At 40.7% G+C, this 21312-nt stretch overlaps 2 protein-coding genes and 1 pseudogene across 19 annotated transcripts in view; 1 reads left to right on the top strand and 2 right to left on the bottom strand.

Moving 5' to 3' along the window:
• Nucleotides 1-9567, top strand: part of ORC2 (origin recognition complex subunit 2) — a 54684-nt gene extending 45117 nt beyond the window's left edge. For 6 of the 8 annotated variants that reach the window (NM_006190.5, XM_011511252.4, XM_006712555.5 and 3 more), the window contains 3 exons: nt 4552-4613; nt 5131-5249; nt 7157-9567. In NM_006190.5, the coding sequence (NP_006181.1) occupies nt 4552-4613; nt 5131-5249; nt 7157-7243 (268 nt within the window). In that variant the 3' untranslated portion in view covers nt 7244-9567. Of the gene's footprint in view, nt 1-4551; nt 5250-7156 lie in introns of those variants that run through there. The other 2 variants (NR_033915.2, XR_002959301.2) reach the window with 2 other exon arrangements.
• A 5044-nt stretch (nt 9568-14611) lies between these two features.
• The window catches only part of NIF3L1 (NGG1 interacting factor 3 like 1), a 14606-nt gene continuing 7905 nt past the window's right edge, over nt 14612-21312 (bottom strand). For 9 of the 11 annotated variants that reach the window (NM_001369444.1, NM_001136039.2, NM_001142355.1 and 6 more), the window contains 2 exons: nt 19076-19159; nt 14612-15050 (listed from right to left, as the gene is read on the bottom strand). In NM_001369444.1, coding sequence (NP_001356373.1) covers nt 14866-15050; nt 19076-19159 — 269 coding nt within the window. In that variant the 3' untranslated portion in view covers nt 14612-14865. The remainder of the gene's footprint in view (nt 15051-19075; nt 19160-21312) is intronic. The other 2 variants (NM_001369441.2, NM_001369445.2) reach the window with 1 other exon arrangement.
• RNU6-762P (RNA, U6 small nuclear 762, pseudogene) lies at nt 19423-19524 on the bottom strand (annotated as a pseudogene).

Here is a 21312-nt window from a genome sequence, read left to right as displayed (position 1 = left end):
GCACTCCAGCCTGGGTGACAGAGTGAGCCTCTGTCTCAAAAAAAAAAAAAGAAAGAAGAAAAAAGAAAAAAAGAGGGAACAAGCAAGTCTAGCAGAGACAATTTCTTTTTTGTTTTTAAAGAGCAATGAAGGGACACTTGTGGTCAAGATGGCATAATACTTCTCACTCTTTCCTTTCATCCCCTCTTGTTCCAAACACACAGCATAATAGACAGAATTTAAAAATAAATACCCTGGCTCAAAATACAAACATCTCAATACAACAGAATGATAAATCAGTGAGCAGAGTTGAAGCCACAGCACAGCTGCATTCTTGGTTTAGAAGCAGCATTGGCAGCCAGGATATTGACTTATATGGGATGATAGTAGTGTGACGATATATATTGTCCAAACCAGATATTTTCGTTTAGGACAAATGCTGAACTGAACAGATGTTTGTTGTAGAAATAAAACCATATAAAATATATAGCATTCAAATGTATATATCAGTATGAATAAAAGTTTAAAATGTGCATGGAATTAGGTCTTTTTAGGTACTAAAAATAATAAAAAAAAATTAGGTACCAACCCTGGAGAAGAATAAAGGGGAATAGATAGAGGAGAGTGTACACAGGGACTTTGGGGATATCTTTTTTTTTTTTAACCCCCCCTAGCAATTTATTTTCCATTTATTTTTCTTTTACCTGTGTGTTTGTGGTGGAGGGATTAACTTTTTGTTGTGAGATGATTATAGATTCAGAAGAAGCTACAAAAATACATGCAGGGAAGTCTCATGTACCCTCCTCCCAAAGCACCAACTTCCACCAACCACCACCATCTCATATAAACACAGTACAGTATCAGAACCAAGAAATTGACATTGTTATAATCCCATCCATATTTGGATTTCACTATTATACATGCTGCACTCGTGTGTGTAAGTTCTGTGCAGTTTTGTCACTTGTAGCCTTGTATGACTGCCACCTCCATGTATACACTCAGCTGTACCATCACCACAAGACTCAAATGTTAACCCTCAAATGCTAATTTTAATGAATGTTGTTACTCTGTAAAGCTGATTTGAACACTGAAGATGAGATTAGCATTCAACTCGGCCAGGCATAGTGGCTCACCCCTATAATTCTACTACTTTGGGAGCCTGAGGAGGGAAGATTGCATGAGGCCAGGAGTTTGAGACGAACCTGGGCAACGTAGACCCCATCTCTACAAAAAGTAAAAATAAAGCCTTGCATTAATATTGGAATATGCAGGCTGGGCGCGGTGGCTCATGCTTGTAATCTCAGCACTTTGAGAGGCTGAAGCAGGCAGATCGTTTGAGGTCAGGAGTTCGAGACCAGCCTGGCCAACATGGTGAAACCGCATCTCTACTAAAAATTAAAAAATCAGCTGGGCATGGTGGTGCATGCCTGTAATCCCAACTACTTGGGAGGCTGAGGAGGGAGAATCGCTTGAACCCAGGAGGTAAAGGTTGCATTGAGCTAAGATCACACCACTGCACTCCAGCCTGTGCAACAGAGTGAGACTCTGTCTCAAAAAAAAAAAAAAAAAAAGGTGGGGCACAGTGGCTCACACCTGTAATCCCAGCACTTTGTGAGGCCAAGGCGGGCAGATCACGAGGTCAGGAGATCAAGACCATCCTGGCTAACATGGTGAAATCCCATCTCTACTAAAAAATTAGCCGGGCGTGGTGGCGGGCACCTGAGGTCCCAGCTGCTCAGGAGGCAGAGGCAGGAGAATGGCGTGAACCCAGGAGGCGGAGCTTGCAGTGAGCCGAGATCGCACCACTGCACTCCAGCCTGGGCGACAGAGCGAGACTCCGTCTCAAATAAAATAAAATAAAATAAAAAAATTGAAATAGGCATTAAATGGTTATCTAATGAAATTTTTTGATGGAATTGGGGACAAAGTCTTCATTCTGTTTTGTTATTACTAATAATAAAAGTCCTTAACTGCTGAAGGACTGTTGGAAGTTGCTGTGTGTAAAGTTGAGGGTCCATGCAGTGTGAGAACTCAAAACGTTAAATATGGCACTGGCTACGCTGATGCAAGTTTTTTTTTTGAGATGGAGACTCATGGTGTCGCCAAGGCTGGAGTGCAGTGGCAAGATCTCGGCTCACTGCAACCTCCCTCTCTGGGGTTTAAGGAATTTTCATGCCTCAGCATCCCACAAGTAGCGGGGACTAGAGGCATGCACCACCACACCTGGCTAATTTTTGTATTTTTAGTAGAGATGGAGTTTCACCATGTTGGGCAGGCTGGTCTTGAACTCTTGACCTCAAGTGATCCACCCACCTTGACCTCCCAAAGTGCTGGGATTACAGGCATGAGCCACCATGCCCAGTCTAATGCAAGTATTTTTTAGTTTGGCATGCCTAAATGTCTGTGTGCTAGCCTCAGCATTTTCTTATTTAAACTATTTTGAAATTTTGCTTGATTCTGCAAACTCCAGTATCATTTAGACTTTACTTGGTATGTGATTGAATAAAAATTTTAACCAAAATTCAGCTCTGGAGTTAGTAGTAGTACCTAGTTAAAAAGTAGTCATTGAGGGCCGGATGCGGTGGCTCACTCCTATAATCCTAGCACTTTGGGAGGCTGAAGTGGGCGGATCACTTGACGCCAGGAGTTCAGGACCAGCCTGGCCAACATGGTAAAACGTTGTGTCTACTAAAAATATAAAAAATTAGCTGGGCGTGGTGGTGTCCACCTGTAATCGCAACTACTCAGGAGTCTGAGGCATGAAAATCGCTTGAACCTGGGAGGCCAAGGTTGCAGTGAGCCAAGATCGCACCACTGCACTCCAACCTGGGCAACAGCGAGATTCTGTCTCAAAAAAAAAAAAGTGTTCATTGAGATGATCCAAAATATGATTATAGTAATTGTTTTCTGGACCTGCATAACAATGAAAATTCATATAAGTTTTGAATTTTTGGCATACCCAAGGACTGATGGGAGTCTTAGTTTGTGTAATACTGCTTCTAACCCCATAATTCTACTTGGTTCACTCTTCCATGGAATAATTCAAAATACAAAGAAATACGTACAGTTTTATTTAGTGCTGAGTTATTTTTTCTGTATCCAGTCATCCATTAAGAGTTATTTTTAATCTAAACTTAGAAATAATGTAAACATCCAAACCAATAGGGAAATGGTAAGTTTATGGTACATGGTAGATAAGCAGTTGTTAAAACTTCCTTAAGTTCTTCTTACATGTGGCAAAAAAAAAGAAAAGAAAAACTTGTTTAGGAGAAGTTTTAAAGACATGGGAAAAATCAGGCCGAGGCGGGTGGATCACCTGAGGTCGGGAGTTCAAGACCAGCCTGACCAACATGGCGAAACCCCGTCTCTACTAAAAATACAAAATTAGCTGGGGTGGTGGCACATGCCTATAATCCCAGCTACTCGGAGGCTGAGGCAGGAGAATCGCTTGAACCCGGGAGACAGAGGTTGCGGTGAGCCAAGATCGCGCCATTGCACTCCAGCCTGGGCAACAAGAGCGAAACTCTGTCTCAAAAAAAAAAAAAAAAAAAAAAAAAAAAAGACGTGGGAAGAATCAAAAAGTGAAGAAGCAAGGTATAAAGTGGTATATGCAGTATATAAATGTGTGAATTTCTGTTATTTCCACCCGCCTCATTGCACAAAGATTTGAGATAACAGCATACCCAGTATGATCTCAACACCAAGTGTTAATGGATATGGGATTGATATTTTTCTCTTTAGATGTTATTCTGTATTCCAGCTTTTCTACCAACACTAACCTAAAAAGTAAGAAAAAAATACTTTCATATTTTATTTTTTTGAGACAGGGTGTCTGTCACTCAAGTACAGCCTCAAGCTCCCAGGCTCAAGTGATCTTTGCACCTCAGCCTCCCGAGTAGCTGAGACCATAGGCGCATACCAGTATGCCTGGCTAATTTTTTAATTTTTTATAGAGACAGAGTCTCACTATATTGCCCAGGGTGGTCTCAAACTCCTGGGCTCAAGCAGTCCTCCCACCTCAGTCTCCCAAAGGGGTGAGATTATAGGTGTGAGGCACCACACTCAGCCTATATTTTTCTTTAGAAGAAATAAAAAAGCGGGCCGGGTACAGTGGCTCACGCCTGTAATCCCAGCACTTTGGGAGGCCGAGGCGGGCGGATCACGAGATCAGGAGATCGAGACCATCCTGGCTAACACGGTGAAACCCCATCTCTACTAAAAATACAAAAAATTTAGCCAGGCATGGTGGTGGGCACCTGTAGTCCCAGCTACTTGGGAGGCTGAGGCAGGAGAATGGCGTGAACCCGGGAGGCAGAGCTTGCAGTGAGCCAAGATCATGCCACTGCATTCCAGCCTGGGCAACAGAGCAAGACTCCGTCTCAAAAAAAAAAAAAAAAAAGAAATTAGAAAGCTTTCTGTTTAAGTAGGCAAGGATATGATATTCCTTGGAGGAACAGAAGATAATGCGGATAGGCCAACTACTTGACATTTTCTTTGTGTATTTTACTATTAGTTGTTACCTTTTGATGTTAACATTTTTGGATTTAAATTCCTGTTTTTTTTTTTTTTTAGGGGAATTTTCAGGCTACTAATAAAATACCAGCTGGACAACCAGGATAACCCTTCTTACATTGGTATCCAATATTTATGACATTCAATTGTGTAATTTTTGTTTTACCCTGTACATTTCCTGTCTCTGGAATTTAATGACAGCAGTGCAGTTTTTCACAGCAGTGAGTAAGTGGTCACTCATGATGGGTATGTCTGCCACATAGCAAATTTTCAAGCAGCTCTACAGATCCACTGCTGAGCAAGGTGTTTGCCAACACAAATTGAAAGACAAACCCAGCTTACTTTTAAAATTTTCTGTGCTAACTATGGATGTGTATCTGCCAAGTACATATTTTTCATATTCTAGGCATCTTAGGAGATTTTCTTCCCCTTTGGCAAAAATGATTTCAACAAACATTTTAATAATTGTTCTGCTCTCATGACTTACTTGTTCCTTCTTTAAAAGTCCTATCAATACTTGTTCACTGCTCTGGGATAACATGCAAATAGCACTTTTATTCTGTTCTTTTGTATGGGTGTTTGTATATTGGGTCATGTCTTAAGTGCTGACTTATGTTCATATCCTTTTGAACTTGCCAGGCCTTTCTTTTCAAGATTTTTACCAGCAGTGTCGGGAGGCATTCCTCGTCAATAGTGATCTGACACTCCGGGCCCAGTTAACTGAATTTAGGGACCACAAGCTTATAAGAACAAAGAAGGTAAGACTCCACTATTGTAGCATTGTATGCCAGGAATAGTCCGTATCATTTACTTAAGGACACATATATGTTTGACTTAGACCTGATTTTGAAACTGATGTTCCCTGTTGAGTCACAGAGATTCATTTAGGGGATGTGCCATTTGAGTTTGTAGAAAGAGCCATGGTAGAAGTACCCTGCTTCAGAGCAGAGCAGAAAACTCACATGTTCTAGTCCAGAGTAATAGGCAATTAGAAACATGGTGAGTCAAATAATTCTGTTCTTTTGTTTTTTCCCTCTTGCTCATTCATTAATTTGGTCTGTATTTATTGAGTACTAACTACATAGATATTGCACTAAGTATTAGGATACAGTAGTAAGCAAAAATCTGATTGCTTTTCTTATGGAGCTTAAAGTCTAATGGGGGAGATGGACATTAGTCAAGTAATCGCACACATAACATTTTAACTGTAAGGAAGTCCTATGATTAGAAGGTACATAGTTCTGAAAGAGTTTATTTAAATAGGTGGATTTGACCTAATTATGGATAGATATCAGAAGAGACCACTGAGCTGAGATCTAAAGGAAGACTAGGAGGCCAGGCGTGGTGGCTCACGCCTGTGATCCCAGCACTTTGGGAGGCCGAGGTGGGTAGATCATTTGAGCCCAGGAGTTCGAGACCAGCCTGGCAACACAGGAGACCCTGTCTATGAAAGAAAAAAAAAAAAGAGCTGGTTGTGGTGGCACGCAGCTGTACCTGTAGTCCCAGCTGCCCAGGAGGCTGAGGTGGGAGGATCACTTGAGCCTGGGAGGTGAAGGCTGCAGTAAGCCATGATCGTGCCACCACACTCCAGCCTGGGCAACAGAGTGAAACCCTATTTCAAAAAGAACAAAACACACACACTGAAAGAGTGACATTTTAGGGAGACAGATGATGAGTTCATGATCTTAATCAGTTTAGACAACTCTGTTTGAGGTTCCTTTGAGATTTCCAAATGGAAATGTCAACTATGCAGTTGGATACCTAGGACAAGAAACCAGAGGAAAGATATGGGTTGGAGAGAGAAGATTATGATTCTTATATATTTAGATTATAACTGAAACCAGGCATTGGGGTACTACCTAAAGGGAGGACGTTTAGTGAGAATAGAGAGCTAGGAGATAAGGCCAGAAATGTGACATTTAACAAAAGTAAAGGATAAGCCTGCAGAGGTGAGAGAAACAGCCAGAGAACTAGGAAGAAAACCAGGATGTGATGTCACAGAAGCCAAGAGAAGCATGTTTTAATGCAGAGAAAATAGTCAGCAGTGTCAGATGCTGCTGAGAGGCCAAAAAGATTAAGACTGAAAATATCTGTGAGATTTAGGAATATAAAATTCCTGATGGTCTAAGCAAACGATGTGATAATGGGAACAGTAGCTCAGTTAAACTGTGCTGAATGAGAAGTGTGGAAATGGAGACTGCCATCATAGCCAACTTGCTTGGAGAAGTGCAGAGATAATGTGATAGATGGAGAGGAATGAAGGTGTGTAGTGAGGGTTACTGAAAAATTGGACACACTTGAATGTATTAAATATTTAAAAGCCAACAGGGAAGGTTCTTGTTGAAAGGAGGAAGAAAGGACACAGACATCAATAGTGTTAGATTCTAAACAGGGCAGGAAGGTGAAGAATGATCTAAAGCACAATGAAAAAAATAAATACCCACCTACCCACCCTCTAGTTAGTTGTCTTTTCCACTATAAGGATGTTTAACTATAACTCCATATATTTAAGTATATATGACTGTGTGCCCTTTTGCCTTTTTATACTTATATATTTAAAAATTACATCCAAGAAATAAATTCATTTTTTCTTTAGCCTCTACAATAGAAGAGTTCATATACCTCTTATGAATGACTAACGTACAGGTATTCTTAAATCTTTCAGGGAACTGATGGAGTAGAGTATTTATTAATTCCTGTTGATAATGGAACATTGACTGATTTCTTGGAAAAGGAAGAAGAGGAGGCTTGAAGCTTTCCTTTATTCTTGAATCTCCCATGGAAGGGTTGTACCCCAGCTGCCACTCCTCTAGTTGAAAGTGTTGTGTTTACATCTGACATTAAATTATTTTTCCAGCATACAAGATTTAAATTTGGGAAGGGGGGGATGTCCTCAATTAGAACTTTTTGATCAGCCTGGCTGGTACCGTCTAGTACTATGCAGCGGTCCTCAAGTTGGAGAAAATGTGCCTTTCATTCATTACCTCTCTGGAGACTTCTTGCTGGAATGAACAGTGTGCTCAGGGACTATTTGGAACTGGATGTTTTTGAATTATTTTATACTTAGAGATATTCTGAATTTTTTGAGGGCCTTTTAACACTCCCCGAGCTGATTGTTTGCAAGTGTGTTTGTTCCAGAGTGTGGAAGTATAAAGACATGGGCATCACGTAAATTGGTTTTGTTTGCTATTCTGTGTGTCAGAACCAACGAGTGTAATGGAGAGGGCAGGTCATCTCTTATTGTTTCTAAAACAACTTAAAAGGTGTAGATTGGGAAGAGGTGAGTGATCCAGCTTTCTCCTTTTGGATTGAGGCTATGTACTTGGTGGGGGCAGGGGAGGGAATATATTATAATACTATTCAGTTGGGATAATGGGAAAAACAGAGTATATAGGGTATCTACCCAGCCTAGAAAGCACAGGAACAATACGTCATATATTTGGAACAGTTATTGTCTGTGCCATGACCTTCATGATACCAGTGAGAAGCCAGGCTAGAGAAATAAAATCCTGAATTACATTTTAGTAATTGTTTTCAAGACAACAAAAAATAAAACATTTCATTATTCTTGTATATTGACATATTTTTCTTTTCTTGAACAACATGCAGGTGAGTAGCATATTAATGGCTGGCTGTAAATTAATTTTGATTCCTCTGTCAAGTAGACCTAAAACTCACTGTAAGATATTTCAGTTTTTTCCTTAAAGTGATGATTTCAAACCTCCTGAATATTTGCGCGAGACTTTTTTCTTAGGAAAGAAAAAAGGCTCACCTTGGCTACTGTTGTCAGCTTACAGTCATCACATACCCCCTGAAATATTTGACACTTGGAAATGAAGTTCTTCCTGAAAATATCACTGCAATAAAATACGTACTACGTCAGCATTTCTCACTCATTTCTTATCTTGTAAACCTCTTTCATGAAAATATTTCCAAAAATCCTTGGAATTTTTAAATAATTTTTCTTGTGGCATATAATTAAGTAATTTTGGCCAGGCATAATGGCTTATGCCTGTAATCACAACACTTTGGGAGGCCAAGGCAGGAGGATCTCTGGAGCCCAGGAGTTTAAGAACAGCCTGGGCAACATAGTGAGACCTTGTCTCTACAAAAAATTTAAAAAATCATCCGGGCATGGTGGCCCATGCCTATAGTCCTAGCTGCTGTGGAGGCTGAGGCAGGAGGATCGCTTGAGCCCAGGGGTTCAAGATTACAGTGAGCTATGATTGTGCCACTGCACTTCAGTCTGGGTGCAGAGCAAGACCTTGTCTTTTTTTTTTTTTAAATCATTTTTTTAAAAAGTAATTTTATGTTAAGTCCATGGGCTTAGTCTTTTTTTTTTTTTTTTTTTTTTTAGATGGAATTGCACTGTCATCCAGTCTAGAGTGCAGTGGCGTGATCTAAGCTTACAGCAGCCTCCACCTCCTGGGTTCAAGTGATTCTTGTGCCTCAGCCTCCTGAGCTGGGACTACAGGCACACGCCACCACGCCTGGCTAGTTTTTGAATTTTTAGCAGAGATGGGGTTTCACCATGTTGGCCAGGCTGGTCTCGAATTCCTGACCTCAAGTGATCCTGCCTCGGCCTCCCAAAGTACTGGGATCAGGGGTGAGCCACTATGCCTGGCCAAGGGCTTAGTCTTAAATATAACCTCTAGTCAAAATGTTTAAACAAATTTGTACATAAATGTGATTTAAAAAAATTTTTTTAATAGTACCAAAGGATATTCAGTGAAAGTGAGTTTCCTGCCCACTCCCTGATCCACCCAGTTCTTTAGGCAACCACTGATAGCATTTTCTTAAGTATTCTTCCAGATATCGTCTATGCATATGTAAAAGTATCTGTCTTTCTCCTTTTAAAAACACAATTGGTAATATATCATACTTGCTGGTTTGCACCTTGCTTTTTTTGCTTAATATATCTAGTTTATAATGACCTAATGTGCAAATTTTTGCATCTGCCCTAAATATCTACTGGTTTATTTTTATAATTTTTGTGTCTATACTATTTGCAAGCAGTATGTGTCAGTAGACTTTATTATTAATAAATAAAAAGCCAATTTGGATAGAATCACTTTATAAATTGGTAGTGCTGGTTTTTTACTAAAAATATTTTTAAGTTCTTCAAAAGAAGTTTTATGAGTGCATCTTACAGATCTGGTGAAGATCTTGGCACATTATTGTATGCTGTTTGTTGACTTGTGTCCGCATCGGTGTCCCTGAGGCTCTAGCAATTATGTCTTGACTGATAAGGCTCTAATTTCTTCTACTGTGTTAACTTGCTTCTGGCAAGATTGAACAGATCTACTGAAACCTTGAAAGGTTTTCTGGGTACTCTTAATAAAATTGCAAAAAAAAAAAAAAAAAAAGGCACAGGAGATGTCAAACATTTATTGTTTATAAATTTGCCACAGTGCTGAATTTATTGTGCAAGGACTGCTAAATTAGTTCTCACAGTAGTCCAGAAACTGGACTTTCTTAGCATTGTTTGTTATTTTAATACATGATCACTTCACTCATATAAAAGATCAGTGGAGGCCGGGCGTGGTGGCTCACGCCTGTAATCCCAGCACTTTGGGAGGCCGAGGCAGGCGGATCACGAGGTCAGGAGATCGAGACCATCCTGGCTAAAACGGTGAAACCCCGTCTCTACTAAAAATACAAAAAATTAGCCGGGCGTGGTCGCGGGCGCCTGTAGTCCCAGCTACTTGAGAGGGTGAGGCAGGAGAATGGCGTGAACCCAGGAGACGGAGCTTGCAGTGAGCCGAGATCACGCCACCGCACTCCAGCCTGGGCGACAGAGCGAGACTCCGTCTCAAAAAAAAAAAAAAAAATTCAGTGGAAACAGGCGCAGTAGCTCACACCTGTAATCCCAGCACTTTGGGAGGCCAAGGCAGGCCAATCTCTTGAGGCCAGGAGTTCAAGACCAGCCTGGCCAACATGGCGAAACCCTGTCTCTGCTAAAAATACAAAAAATTAGCTGGGCATGGTGGCACGCACCATGTAGTCCCAGCTACTCAGAAGGCTTAGGTGGATCGATCATCTGAGCCCAGGAAAGCTGAGGCTGCAGTGAGCTGTGATCATGCCACTGCACTCCAGCCTGGTGGGTAACAGAGTGAGACCCTGTCTCAAAATAAAAGATCAGTTGGTTTGGGGGCTGATAAATAGATTTTGCCTAACTTTTAAACAAAATAACTTTAGAAGTCTACTCTTTGTTCCAGCTAATTCAAATGTGGAGGCAGTGGCATTGTTCAGAATGTACTTTTTATATTCTATGAGGTCAAATTACTCTTCCAGCATAATCCTGAATAGCCTAAATTTGAACACTTACTACACAAAAGGCAGTAGTTGTGAGGATATTAAGGTGAAATATGAAATGTCTATAAGTGTTTGTTTTTGAGACAGGGTCTCTGTCACCCAGGTTAGAGTGCAGTGGTGCCATCTCAGCTCACTGCAGCCTTGACCTCCTGGGCTCAAGTGATCCACCCACCTTACCCTCCTGAGTAGCTGGTACTACAGGAGGCACACACCACCACACCTGGCTTTTTTTTTTTTTTTTTTTCCTGTAGAGATGGGGTTTCACCATGTTGCCTAGGCTGGTCTTGAACTCCTGGGCTCAAGTGATCCACCCACCTGGGTCTCCCAAAGTGCTGGGATTAACAGGTGTGAGCCACCTCACCCAGCCTATGAGGTTTTAATAGCATAAGTTGTAGCATCCTTAATGTGTTGAATAAGGCAAATTTGAAAAGACTGATGCTATGGAAAATATAACTTTAAGCATGAGTACAATACAAAGCTCATTACTAAATTTTCATACCAATTTTTATATTTATCACTGGCCCCAGGCTTCCCAAGTATTTAGGGTCAACATCTTTACCTTTGGTACCCAAAGTGTAGGTCTTAAAATGGCAGCATTTGCCTGGCACAGTGGCTCACGCCTGTAATCCCAGCACTTTGGGAGGCTGAGACAGGTGGATAACTTGAGGTCAGGAGTTCTAGACTACCCTGGCCAACATGGTGAAACCCCATCTCTACTAAAAATACAAAATTAGCTGGGCATTGTGGCGAATGCCTGTAATCCCAGCTACTTGGGAGGCTGAGGCAGGAGAATTGCTTCAACCTGGGAGGCGGAGGTTGTATTGAGCTGAGATCGTGCCACTGCACTCCAGCCTGGGTGAAAGAGTGAGACTCTGTCTCACAAAAAATAAAAAATAAAAAAAAATAAGGCCGGGTGTGGTGGCTCACGCCTGTAATCCCAGCACTTAGGGAGGCCGAGGAGGACGGATCACCTGAGGTCAGGAGTTTGAAACCAGCCTGACCAACATGGAGAAACCCTATCTCTACTAAAAATGCTTAATTACCTGGGTCTGGTGGCACATTCCTGTAATCCCAGCTACTCGGGAGGCTGAGGCATGAAAATCGCTTGAACCCGGGAGACGGAGGTTGTGGTGAGCCAAGATCACGCCATTGCCCTCCAGCCTGGGCAACAAGAGTGAAACTCCGTCTCAAAAAAAAAAAACGGCCAGGCTCAGTGGCTCACACCTGTAATCCCAGCACTTTGAGAGGCCAAGGCAGGAGGATTCCCTGAGCTCAGGAGCTCAAGACCAGCCTAGGCAGTGTAGCAAAACCCGGTCTTTACAAAAGTAAAAATTTTTTTAATTTGAAAAAATTAGTCAGTAGGGGGTGGGTGGTGGCAGGTGCCTGTAGGCCCAGCTACCCAGGAGACTGAGGAGAGAGGGTCACTTGAGCCCAGGAGTTTGAAGCTGCAGTGAGCTATGATCACACCACTGTACTCCAGCCTGGGTGACAGAGCAAGACCTTGTCTCTAAATAAAAAAGAAAAAGGAGGGAGATTAGGATTTTGCTTTGGGACTGGTGAAAGGAGGGCAGGAGAACTCTGAGAGATTGTTTCCTGAGGCCTGCCCCTGAGGCTTAACACACCTAAAAGACTGTAACAAGGGCTAGAGGAGTTATAAGCCAGGAACTGTGCAGAAACATGTATATATGTATGTTTTATATATGATAATATATGTATATTTTAACACCCCACATATTAAAAATCCAGATTTCCTTTGCCCCTGAAAGATCAGGAAGACTTGGCCACGCTGGACCTTCATTCTGCCCAGCAGCACTTGCCTTGGGCTGAACTGTTGCTGCCACCTCCTGGCCAGCTTCACTTCTTTCCTGCACTAGTGTCTGATTTGGATCCTGATCTAGATTGGTATGGAGCACCCTCTAATACATGTGCACAAGAGATTATATAAGGTGTCATGGATGCACAACAAAGGTGGTGACACTATTCCCTACAATCTGCAACCTTCCACCTGGAATGTATTGTCCATGTGGGCATCCAAGGCGACCTTTTAAGTCCTACAGGATAGGGAAGATTTTTCATGTGACACCTGTGAGGGAATGTGCATGTCCTTCCTCAGCCTTCAGCTTTCTGGAGTAGATAAGGGATTACTAAACCACTGTTTCATGTCAGTATCTGGCCTTATTTATTAAATCAGCAAAACAACACAAAACATGTCATTAGACACTAAGCTTAAAAATGACATTTCAGGCCAGGCACGGTGGCTCAACCTGTAACCCAGCACTTTGGGAGGATGAGGTGGGCGGATCCCCTGAGCCTAGGAGTTGGAGACCAGCCTGACCAACATGGTGAAACCTCGTCTCTACTAAAAATACAAAAATTAGCTGGGAATGGTGACGTGTGCCTGTAATCCCAGCTACTTGGAATGCTGAGGCAGGAGAATCGCTTGAACCCGGGAGGCAGAGGTTGCAGGGAGCTGTAATCATGCCACTGCTCTCTAGCCTGGGCAACAGAGTGAGACTCCGTCTCCAAAAAAAAAAAAAAAATGACATTAAAAAAAAATGACATTTCTTTTGAGCAGTGTTCCTTTGTATTTTAATAATCCTGTATTTAATATAGATTAAGTAAATATTTAAGTTATAATGGATGTCACATAAAATTTCCTTTAAAGATAGGTAAGAAGATAAAATAGATACTTAAAAGGAAATAAGGGAGTCAAAATACTAGAAAAAAAATCAAACACAAAAGGCGGCAGTAATGGAGAAAACATAAGTGAAAGATGCCGGACACAAAGGACCACATGTTTATGATTCCACTTATAGAAAATATCCAAAATAGACAAATCCATAGAAATAGGATCCAGGGGATGGGAGGAGGGAATTATTACTTAATGGGGGCTTCCCTCTGTGGTGATGAAAAATGCTTTGGAACTGTAGTGGTAACAGTACCACAACACTGTAAATGTACTAAAAGCTACGGAATTGTATACTTTAAAATGGTGAATTTTGGAAGGGGGGGGCAGGAAAATAAAATGGCGAATTTTATGTTATGTGAATTTTACCACAATAAAAAATAAACAAAAAGAGAAAAAGTTGCTTTACACAAAAGCATGAAGTAAAAATTACATGTGGTATGGTAAAATAGCACAAATCATAAAAGCAATCTAAGAATGCCTAAAATGGAGGGAATATTGCTTTAGCCAGATTACCTGAGAACGCAGTCCTCAGGTGGAGAAAGGTGTATCTGCCCTGCCCAACCAGCAGCAGGCAGGCAGGGGCCTCGCAGCCCAGCGCAGGTGCTGTTTAGAAAGGGGCATCCACATGGATAAAAGGCCCAGATTAAATGGGGCAGGATGATATTTTGAGATATCTGACTTTGTTCTTTCTGCTCTGGAATTTCATTCCCTGGCCCTGCCCCCTGCCTGCGGCAGCCAAGTTCATTGCCAGGAGAGGGAAGTGACAGAGCAGAAATCGGGAACAAAGGACTGTGGAAGAAAAAAAAATTACAGGTAAGTCATCTAAAAAGCAATAAAGTAACAGTAATATGAATAATGATTGTGTATACATATTTTCAAAACAACATCCTGATAAATCTCATTCTGATTCTGAAATTTAGGTGAGAGACTGGAATGTAGGCAGAACTAGGAACAAGGACAAACAGAACTTCTTATCACTGCAAAAAGGCTACTACCTAGAAGTGTTCAAGCCCAAGTTTTTCAAGCATAATGTTAACTAACCAAGGGCAGAGATACCCAAATGGATCCATCCCATCTACAATTAAACTAAGGACAGAATCACTTGAGCTCCTTCCAAAGAATGTTAAGTAAACAGATTTTATTCAATCTTTCCTAGAGTTTATAATGAACATTTGTTATTTAATATGGTAGTTATATTACAGTTTTACCTTACGAGCGATAGAACATTTGGTGAATAAGATTAACAAACCGGAAATGATGATACCCTCGAAGACACTCTCTGGAAGCACACCAGTCCCACTGACTCATGTTACAAATTTAAGTTGGCATCCAGCTGATTTGTAGAATGTGTTATCCTGATGTTTCTGCAATTATACCACCTGAAGAGGGTCCCTGTCAGTCTCTGATAGGATAATATTTATCTTATTCTCCAAGTGAGAATCCAGCATATCTCGAAGGTCAGAAAGAAAGCCTCGTTCAGTGTTGCTGTGTTCACAGAGGATGACATTTATTCCTTGGGAAGCAGCATCCAAAGTATCATGATGGGACATCTCACCTACCAAAAAGGGAAGAGCAAATTCTTAAATGCTAAATATGGAATCTGTGGAATGAGGAAACACAAAAGCAGAAATACCAAGTTTGTAGTCTATATGAAGTGAATGTAATAGAGCAGAACTGTTTTACATATAAATCTAGAAAGTAGTGTACAGTTTTCTTTTATGTCCTCCAACTTAAAAAGAGAGAAAAGTCTGGGCGCGGTGGCTCACGCCTGTAATCCCAGCACTTTGGGAGGCCTAGGCAGGCAGATCACCTGAGCTAAGGAGTGCTAGACTAGCCTGGCCAACATGGTGAAACTTCCATCTCTACTAAAAACACAAAAATTAGCTGGGCGTGGTGGTGCGTGCCTGTAATCCCAGCTACTCAGGAGGCTGAGACAGGTGAATAGCTTCAGTCCAGGGCCTGGAGGTTGCAGTGAGCCGAGACTGCACCACTGCACTTCAGCCTGGGTGACAGAGTAAGACTATCTTGAAAATATAAAAATAAAATCCATCCCACTGAGAATTCCAACTTCTTTTTCCTTAGCAGACCCCAAGGCAATTATCCAATCCAACATATCTGGCCAGAACCAGATCTGTAAACACCCATTCAAAGTGTTTCCACGGTAAAATGAATGATCACTGCCAAGTAAAATGAGGCCTTCAGAAAATTTGCCTCTTATGTAAGTAATAAATACCTCTGGAGGAAATTATATGTATACTGCCCAGCAGACTTATGCTTTGTAAGCACCAGTATTTCTGTCGTCAACTTAGTCTAATATATAAGGATGAAATGAATTTAAGATTACTTCCAGGTTAAAAACAAAGTATTTTTCTTTGACTTAAGCAAAATCCCTAGAAACTCTGGAGGGAATCTCATCTGTTGTGAAAAGATTTGGGGAAAATTCATATTCTGAATTTTTAATTTATATTGTTAATTTTTTTTTAGATGGAGTTTTGCTCTGTCACCCAGGCTGGAGTACAGTAGCACGATCTCAGCTCACTGCAACCTCTGCCTCCTGGGTTCAAGTGATTCTCCTGCCTCAGCCTCTCGAGTAGCTGGAATGACAGGCACCCACCACCATGCCTGGCTAATTTTTGTATTTTTAGTAGAGATGGGGTTTCACCACGTTGGCCAGGCTGGTCTCGAACTGCTGGGCTCAAGTGATCTGCCCGCCTCAGCCTCCCAAAGTGCTGGGATTACAGGCGTGAGCCACCATGTCCAGCCTAATATTCTGAATTTCTTAAAATGCAGTTTGTGAATTTGATGACTTCTAATTTAAGAGCAAAACTGTACTGTGTACAATTAGGTTTGTTCTTTAAAAAGTACAATTTTGAACTGTATTTAGAGACAGAAGGGCATATAAATTTAAGAAAAAAGGGTTCTTGGAAAAAAATGAGTTCTCTTTTAATTTTCCCATAAGAAAACACCTATAAGTAAAAAAATGAGTTTTCTTAATTCCAGAATTTTTTAGTTCCCCACAATCTCCTCCTAATAAGTGTCATCTCATTATAAGGAACAGTTTTTATTCAAGCACCTTTTAAAACATCTTAATCTATAATAGTAGAAGTAAAAAGCAAGAAAAAGACACTAAGATGGCCCAGTTGGAAGCCTTGTTTTAGGAAAGGTAAGTCTGGCTGCCTGTACTGTGACAAATTCATTGGCTGGAGAAGGCATGAAAGGGGGGAAATCAGTGAAGACCCTGCAATAATAGCTGAAGCCAATGGAAAGAAAAGCTTGGCCCAGGATGGCAGCTTGGGAAAGAATAAGCAAATGGAGAATGAAAAGACAAATGGGAGAACTTAATTTACAAGGAGCAGGCTCCCCATCTGCTGGTCTTACGGGGTATTACCCTTAACAACCTAATACAATGAGAACACGGCCTCAGGCTCACAGGAAGCGTGATGAAGTTCAGCAGAGGTCCTTTAGGTGGGGCTTCACATCTCTGAAGTTATACTCAAAAGTGATGCCTCACAGACCAGAGACAGCTAATGCTAGCCGGATAATATATTTTCTATTTCTCCCCACAGCCAGATAGGAAGGACATTTTAACATTTTGGAACTGCTTGAATTTATCTTATGCACGTATCATTATACTTTATCATTGTTTTAAAAAACTAGTTTTTAAAAAAGTATAAGGAAACAGATACCCCAAATTGAGAGAGAAGCACAAAACAAAGAGCCTATACTCTTTAAAAATGTCAATGCTATGGAGACAAAGCTGAGAAACTATTCCAGACTGAAGGAGACTAACAACAACTAAATGCAATGTGAGATCATTGGCTGGATATGGATCAGAAAAAGAAATGCTATAAGCTTTTATCAATTGGGAAAATGTGAATATGGACTGTATATCAAGTAAGTGTTTTAACAATATTAAATTCCCATGTTTGATAATTGTTCCATGGACTTAGAATGTCTTTGTTCTTAGACTATACACTGAAGTATTGAGAGGTAAAGAAATTGTCATGTCTGCAATTGATTACAAAATGGTCCTAGGGGAAATACATCAATATATATATAGAACATATTTTAACTTGTATATATTATGTATCTATACATGCAAACACAAATGTGTATAGACACATATATAATATGCACATAGGGAATGTACAAATATGGCAGAATATAACCATAGTAACCAAGGTGAAGAGCATATAGGAGTTCAGTATACTATTCTTGCAACTTTTGCATAGGTCTGAAATTCCTAAGTAAAATGCTAAAATGAATTTTAAAATAGCCAGACACAATACTGTAAGATATTCATATTGAAATTTCACTTTAATCTGGTAGAAATTTAAGGGCTTACAAAAATCTTTTATCTTCAGAAAATATAAAATAAGTAATAGTCACATACATGTTTTGTTTTTTTAAATCAATTTATTGGTTTAGAGCAATTCCATCAGGCTTGCTCAGATGCTGCTCCTCGGTACTTCAGGATGTGACAATGCTTTGAGTGCAGCAGCCTTTGTAAGAGAGTGTGCTATATAACAAAGTGTGGGTGTGGGAGGCAAGGGAAGCATGGAAGTAGCCAAAGGAATGGCCAGAGGGCTAAGAGCCTAGAGCCTGGTCCTCAAAGTGGGAAAAGTAATTCTTTAACTCATTCTCTCCTAACCCTAAGAAGGAGGAGGTAAACAAAGTGGCAACCCCTTAAAATGCCTCCAAATCCTTTGGAGGTGTAAGGGGCCATGTTTGGCCATATTCCTGAGTAGTAACTACATAAAGTAATTCTTTCAATAAAAATTAGCCAGGACCTATTAGGTAGTATCCTAAATGAGAAAGTATAAGGCCCAGCAGCCAGACAATTACTATCCAACAGAAGTGCACATTGGAGGTCAAGGACAAAGTGATAGGGACCCACAAGAGGCAGGAGCAGGACAGTGTCAGAGAAGGCTTCTCAGAGGGGGTGTTCACTTATCACTAGGAGTACAAGGAAAAGGCATTCTAGCCAGAGAAAACAGCATAAGCAAAGGGTACAGGAAAGGGGATGCAATGTTCAGGCTCCACCAGACAGATGAAGGAAATCACTGAAGTCTTTTTAATCAAGACCATCAAATTTGCACTTTGAAAAGTTAATTTCAGGAGAGTATATGGAAGATACCATTAGAGGGTTGATGCTGTACTTCAAGTAGGAGATGGTGCCTGGATAGAGATAAGGGGGAAGATTCTAGAAAGATTTGGGAGCTTGAATTGATAGGAATTGATGATTGGCTTTAGGCTGAGTAAAAGGAACCATTTCCTAGCTAAGGTGACAGGGTAGAAAGTATCCCACTGATGTGAAATCTGAGAGGTTTGGGACAGTTTAGGAAGAATGTAGGTAAAATAAATGCTGACCATTAACTTTTGAGATAATGTAATAAACTGTTCAATGATTTCATCCCTCCACAAAGAATGCAGTAAGTCCCCAGTTCTGTTGTAGTTTCTGTTTAGTTCAGGTTCAGAAAACATTAATTAGGTATCATCTATGTGCCAGGTACTGTCCTAAAATTTGCCATTTTTGATTTTGCAAAAAATAAACCAAGAGAGATCCAAAGTCTGTCCTACCTGTGAGGTAAAGGTCAGCCTCAACACCCTGCAGAACGCTGCTCCCAGAACCAGCACACAGGGCCACGACTTTGACTTGAGACTCTTCAAAACAGAGGAAACAAGAGACCAATACTTTACAATTCCCTTTCATTTTACTATTATAATTTGTACCAAGAATCCTAAACATAATACAGATTTCACTCCTGGTCTCATCACCAGTATATGAATTGTTCTTACTGCATTTTAAAAAAAACATGTTTTAATATAAGCAAACAGGTCATTCTTTGATATTGCATAGCTAACCCAAGGCATGGTTATTATTCCTTTGTTGTGTTTTTTTTTTTCAACAACCTTTGTAAATTGCGCAAAATACGGAACAATGCACAAATTTGCGTGTAATCTTTGCATAGGGGCCATGCTAATCTATATCATCCAATTTTTAGTATATGTGCTGCTGAAGGGGGCACCGTTATTCCTTTGGACATGGCTGCACAAACTCACAAACCACTGAATAGTACTAATGGTGCAGCTCTAGGCTGTATTGCAACAGTGCTAGGTAAAATAATCTCACCTGGGTCTTCAGACAACAGTGAGAGGTAAGCAAGTACTATCTCTATTCTCAGGTGAGGAAGCTAAGGAACTAAAAGGACTATAAAAAGAGGAATGCTACAAATGGATTTGGCACTATTTTTAAATATACTATTTATTCTCAAAAAGCATCCTCTGGAAAGTGAAATAACAGCAACTTTCGAGCCAAAATCCAAGTATTTAGCACTTGGGTTTCTAAAATGAACACTTTAGTGGACACTCCAGTTCAGCAGCAGGGTATCTCAAAGAGGGGGCTTTGGAGTTATTTTGGAAGTCAAATCCCACCTCTGCTATCCATTTTCTTTGGACACTAACTCCCTTGGGTTGTTTGATCTAACTGGACTTTTAGATAAGTTACTGATATGGTTTGGCTCTGTGTCCCCATCCAAATCTCACCTTGAATATAATCCCCATAATTCCCACGGGTCAAGGGCGGGACCAGGTGGAGGTAATTGGATCATGGGGGCAGTTCCCCCATGCTGTTCTTGTGATAATGCGTGAGTCTCACGAGATCTGATGGTTTCATAAGCATCTGGCATTTCTCTTGCTTGCACTCATTCTCTCTCCTGCCACCCTGAGAAGAGGTGCCTTCCAACATGATTGTAAGTTTCCTGTGGCCTCCCCAGCCATGCAGAACTGTGAGTCAATTAAACCTCTTTTCTTTATAAATTACCTAGTCTCAGGTATTTCTTCATAGCAGCGTGAGAACGAACTAATAAAGTTACTTATCTCTCTGAACCACAATTGTTCACCTATAAAATGGGAGAAATAGTACCAACCACAAAACTAACAACAGCTAGCACTTTATACTTAATGTGAGCCAATCACTGTGCCATGTCACATGGATTATACTACCACCTTCTGAGTTAGGTTTTATTAATGCAGTTTTTACAGATGAGGCTACTGTGACACAGAGGGCATAAACTTGTCAAAGACATGCAGCAAACAGGACAGACAAATCTGAAGCCAGGTTGTCTAAGCTCAGAATCCACACCTATAACCGCTGTACCCCACTGCTTTTGCCAGCAGGAGCTCACGTACTTAGGACAGACAATCAGTACAGTGCTAGGCTCACTGAAGGTGTTGAACAAATGTCTGTTCACTCTTTTTGTTCTCAAAAGTACCAGGAAAGGCCAGAAGAAAAAACTACAAGACTTAGAAACTACAATGGATCAGATCACTCAGTAGCACCTCACTAGAAAATATTACCAGTCTTATAAGTGCAAAGTTTATGTTGTAATTGTAGCAATCATGATTCCAGCTCTCTTCCTGACACATGGTAAGACTGCACTTTATGCCTCCCTTGCTTGTATTGGGCAACATGACTAATTCTGGAAAATGAGTTGAGCAGAAATTAACATGTTTCCTGGAATTTTAAACTGATGGTTTAAGACCCTGCAAAACTCCCTCCCTCTGCAACAGCAACCAGTCTACAATGGTCAGACTTCCTACAATGACCAACTTGAAATGAACACATAGCATGACAGAGAAATAAATCTCATTGATTAAGTCAATGAGATGTATTCCACATCAGAACCTGGCCCACCCTAATCAATAACGTAAACCAATTATCTCCTATGAGCTGCTAACACATTCTCTATCACATATTAATACAACCAAGAGTTTCGATCTTTGTCCAATGTTAACAGTAGGCATACTGGATAGAT

The sequence above is a fragment of the Homo sapiens genome, chromosome 2 (genome assembly GCF_000001405.40).
Source record: "Homo sapiens chromosome 2, GRCh38.p14 Primary Assembly".
NCBI classification, from domain to species: Eukaryota; Metazoa; Chordata; class Mammalia; order Primates; family Hominidae; genus Homo; species Homo sapiens.
The sequence above is the reverse complement of the archived record's forward strand: the minus strand, read 5'-3'. Positions and strand labels throughout refer to the sequence as shown.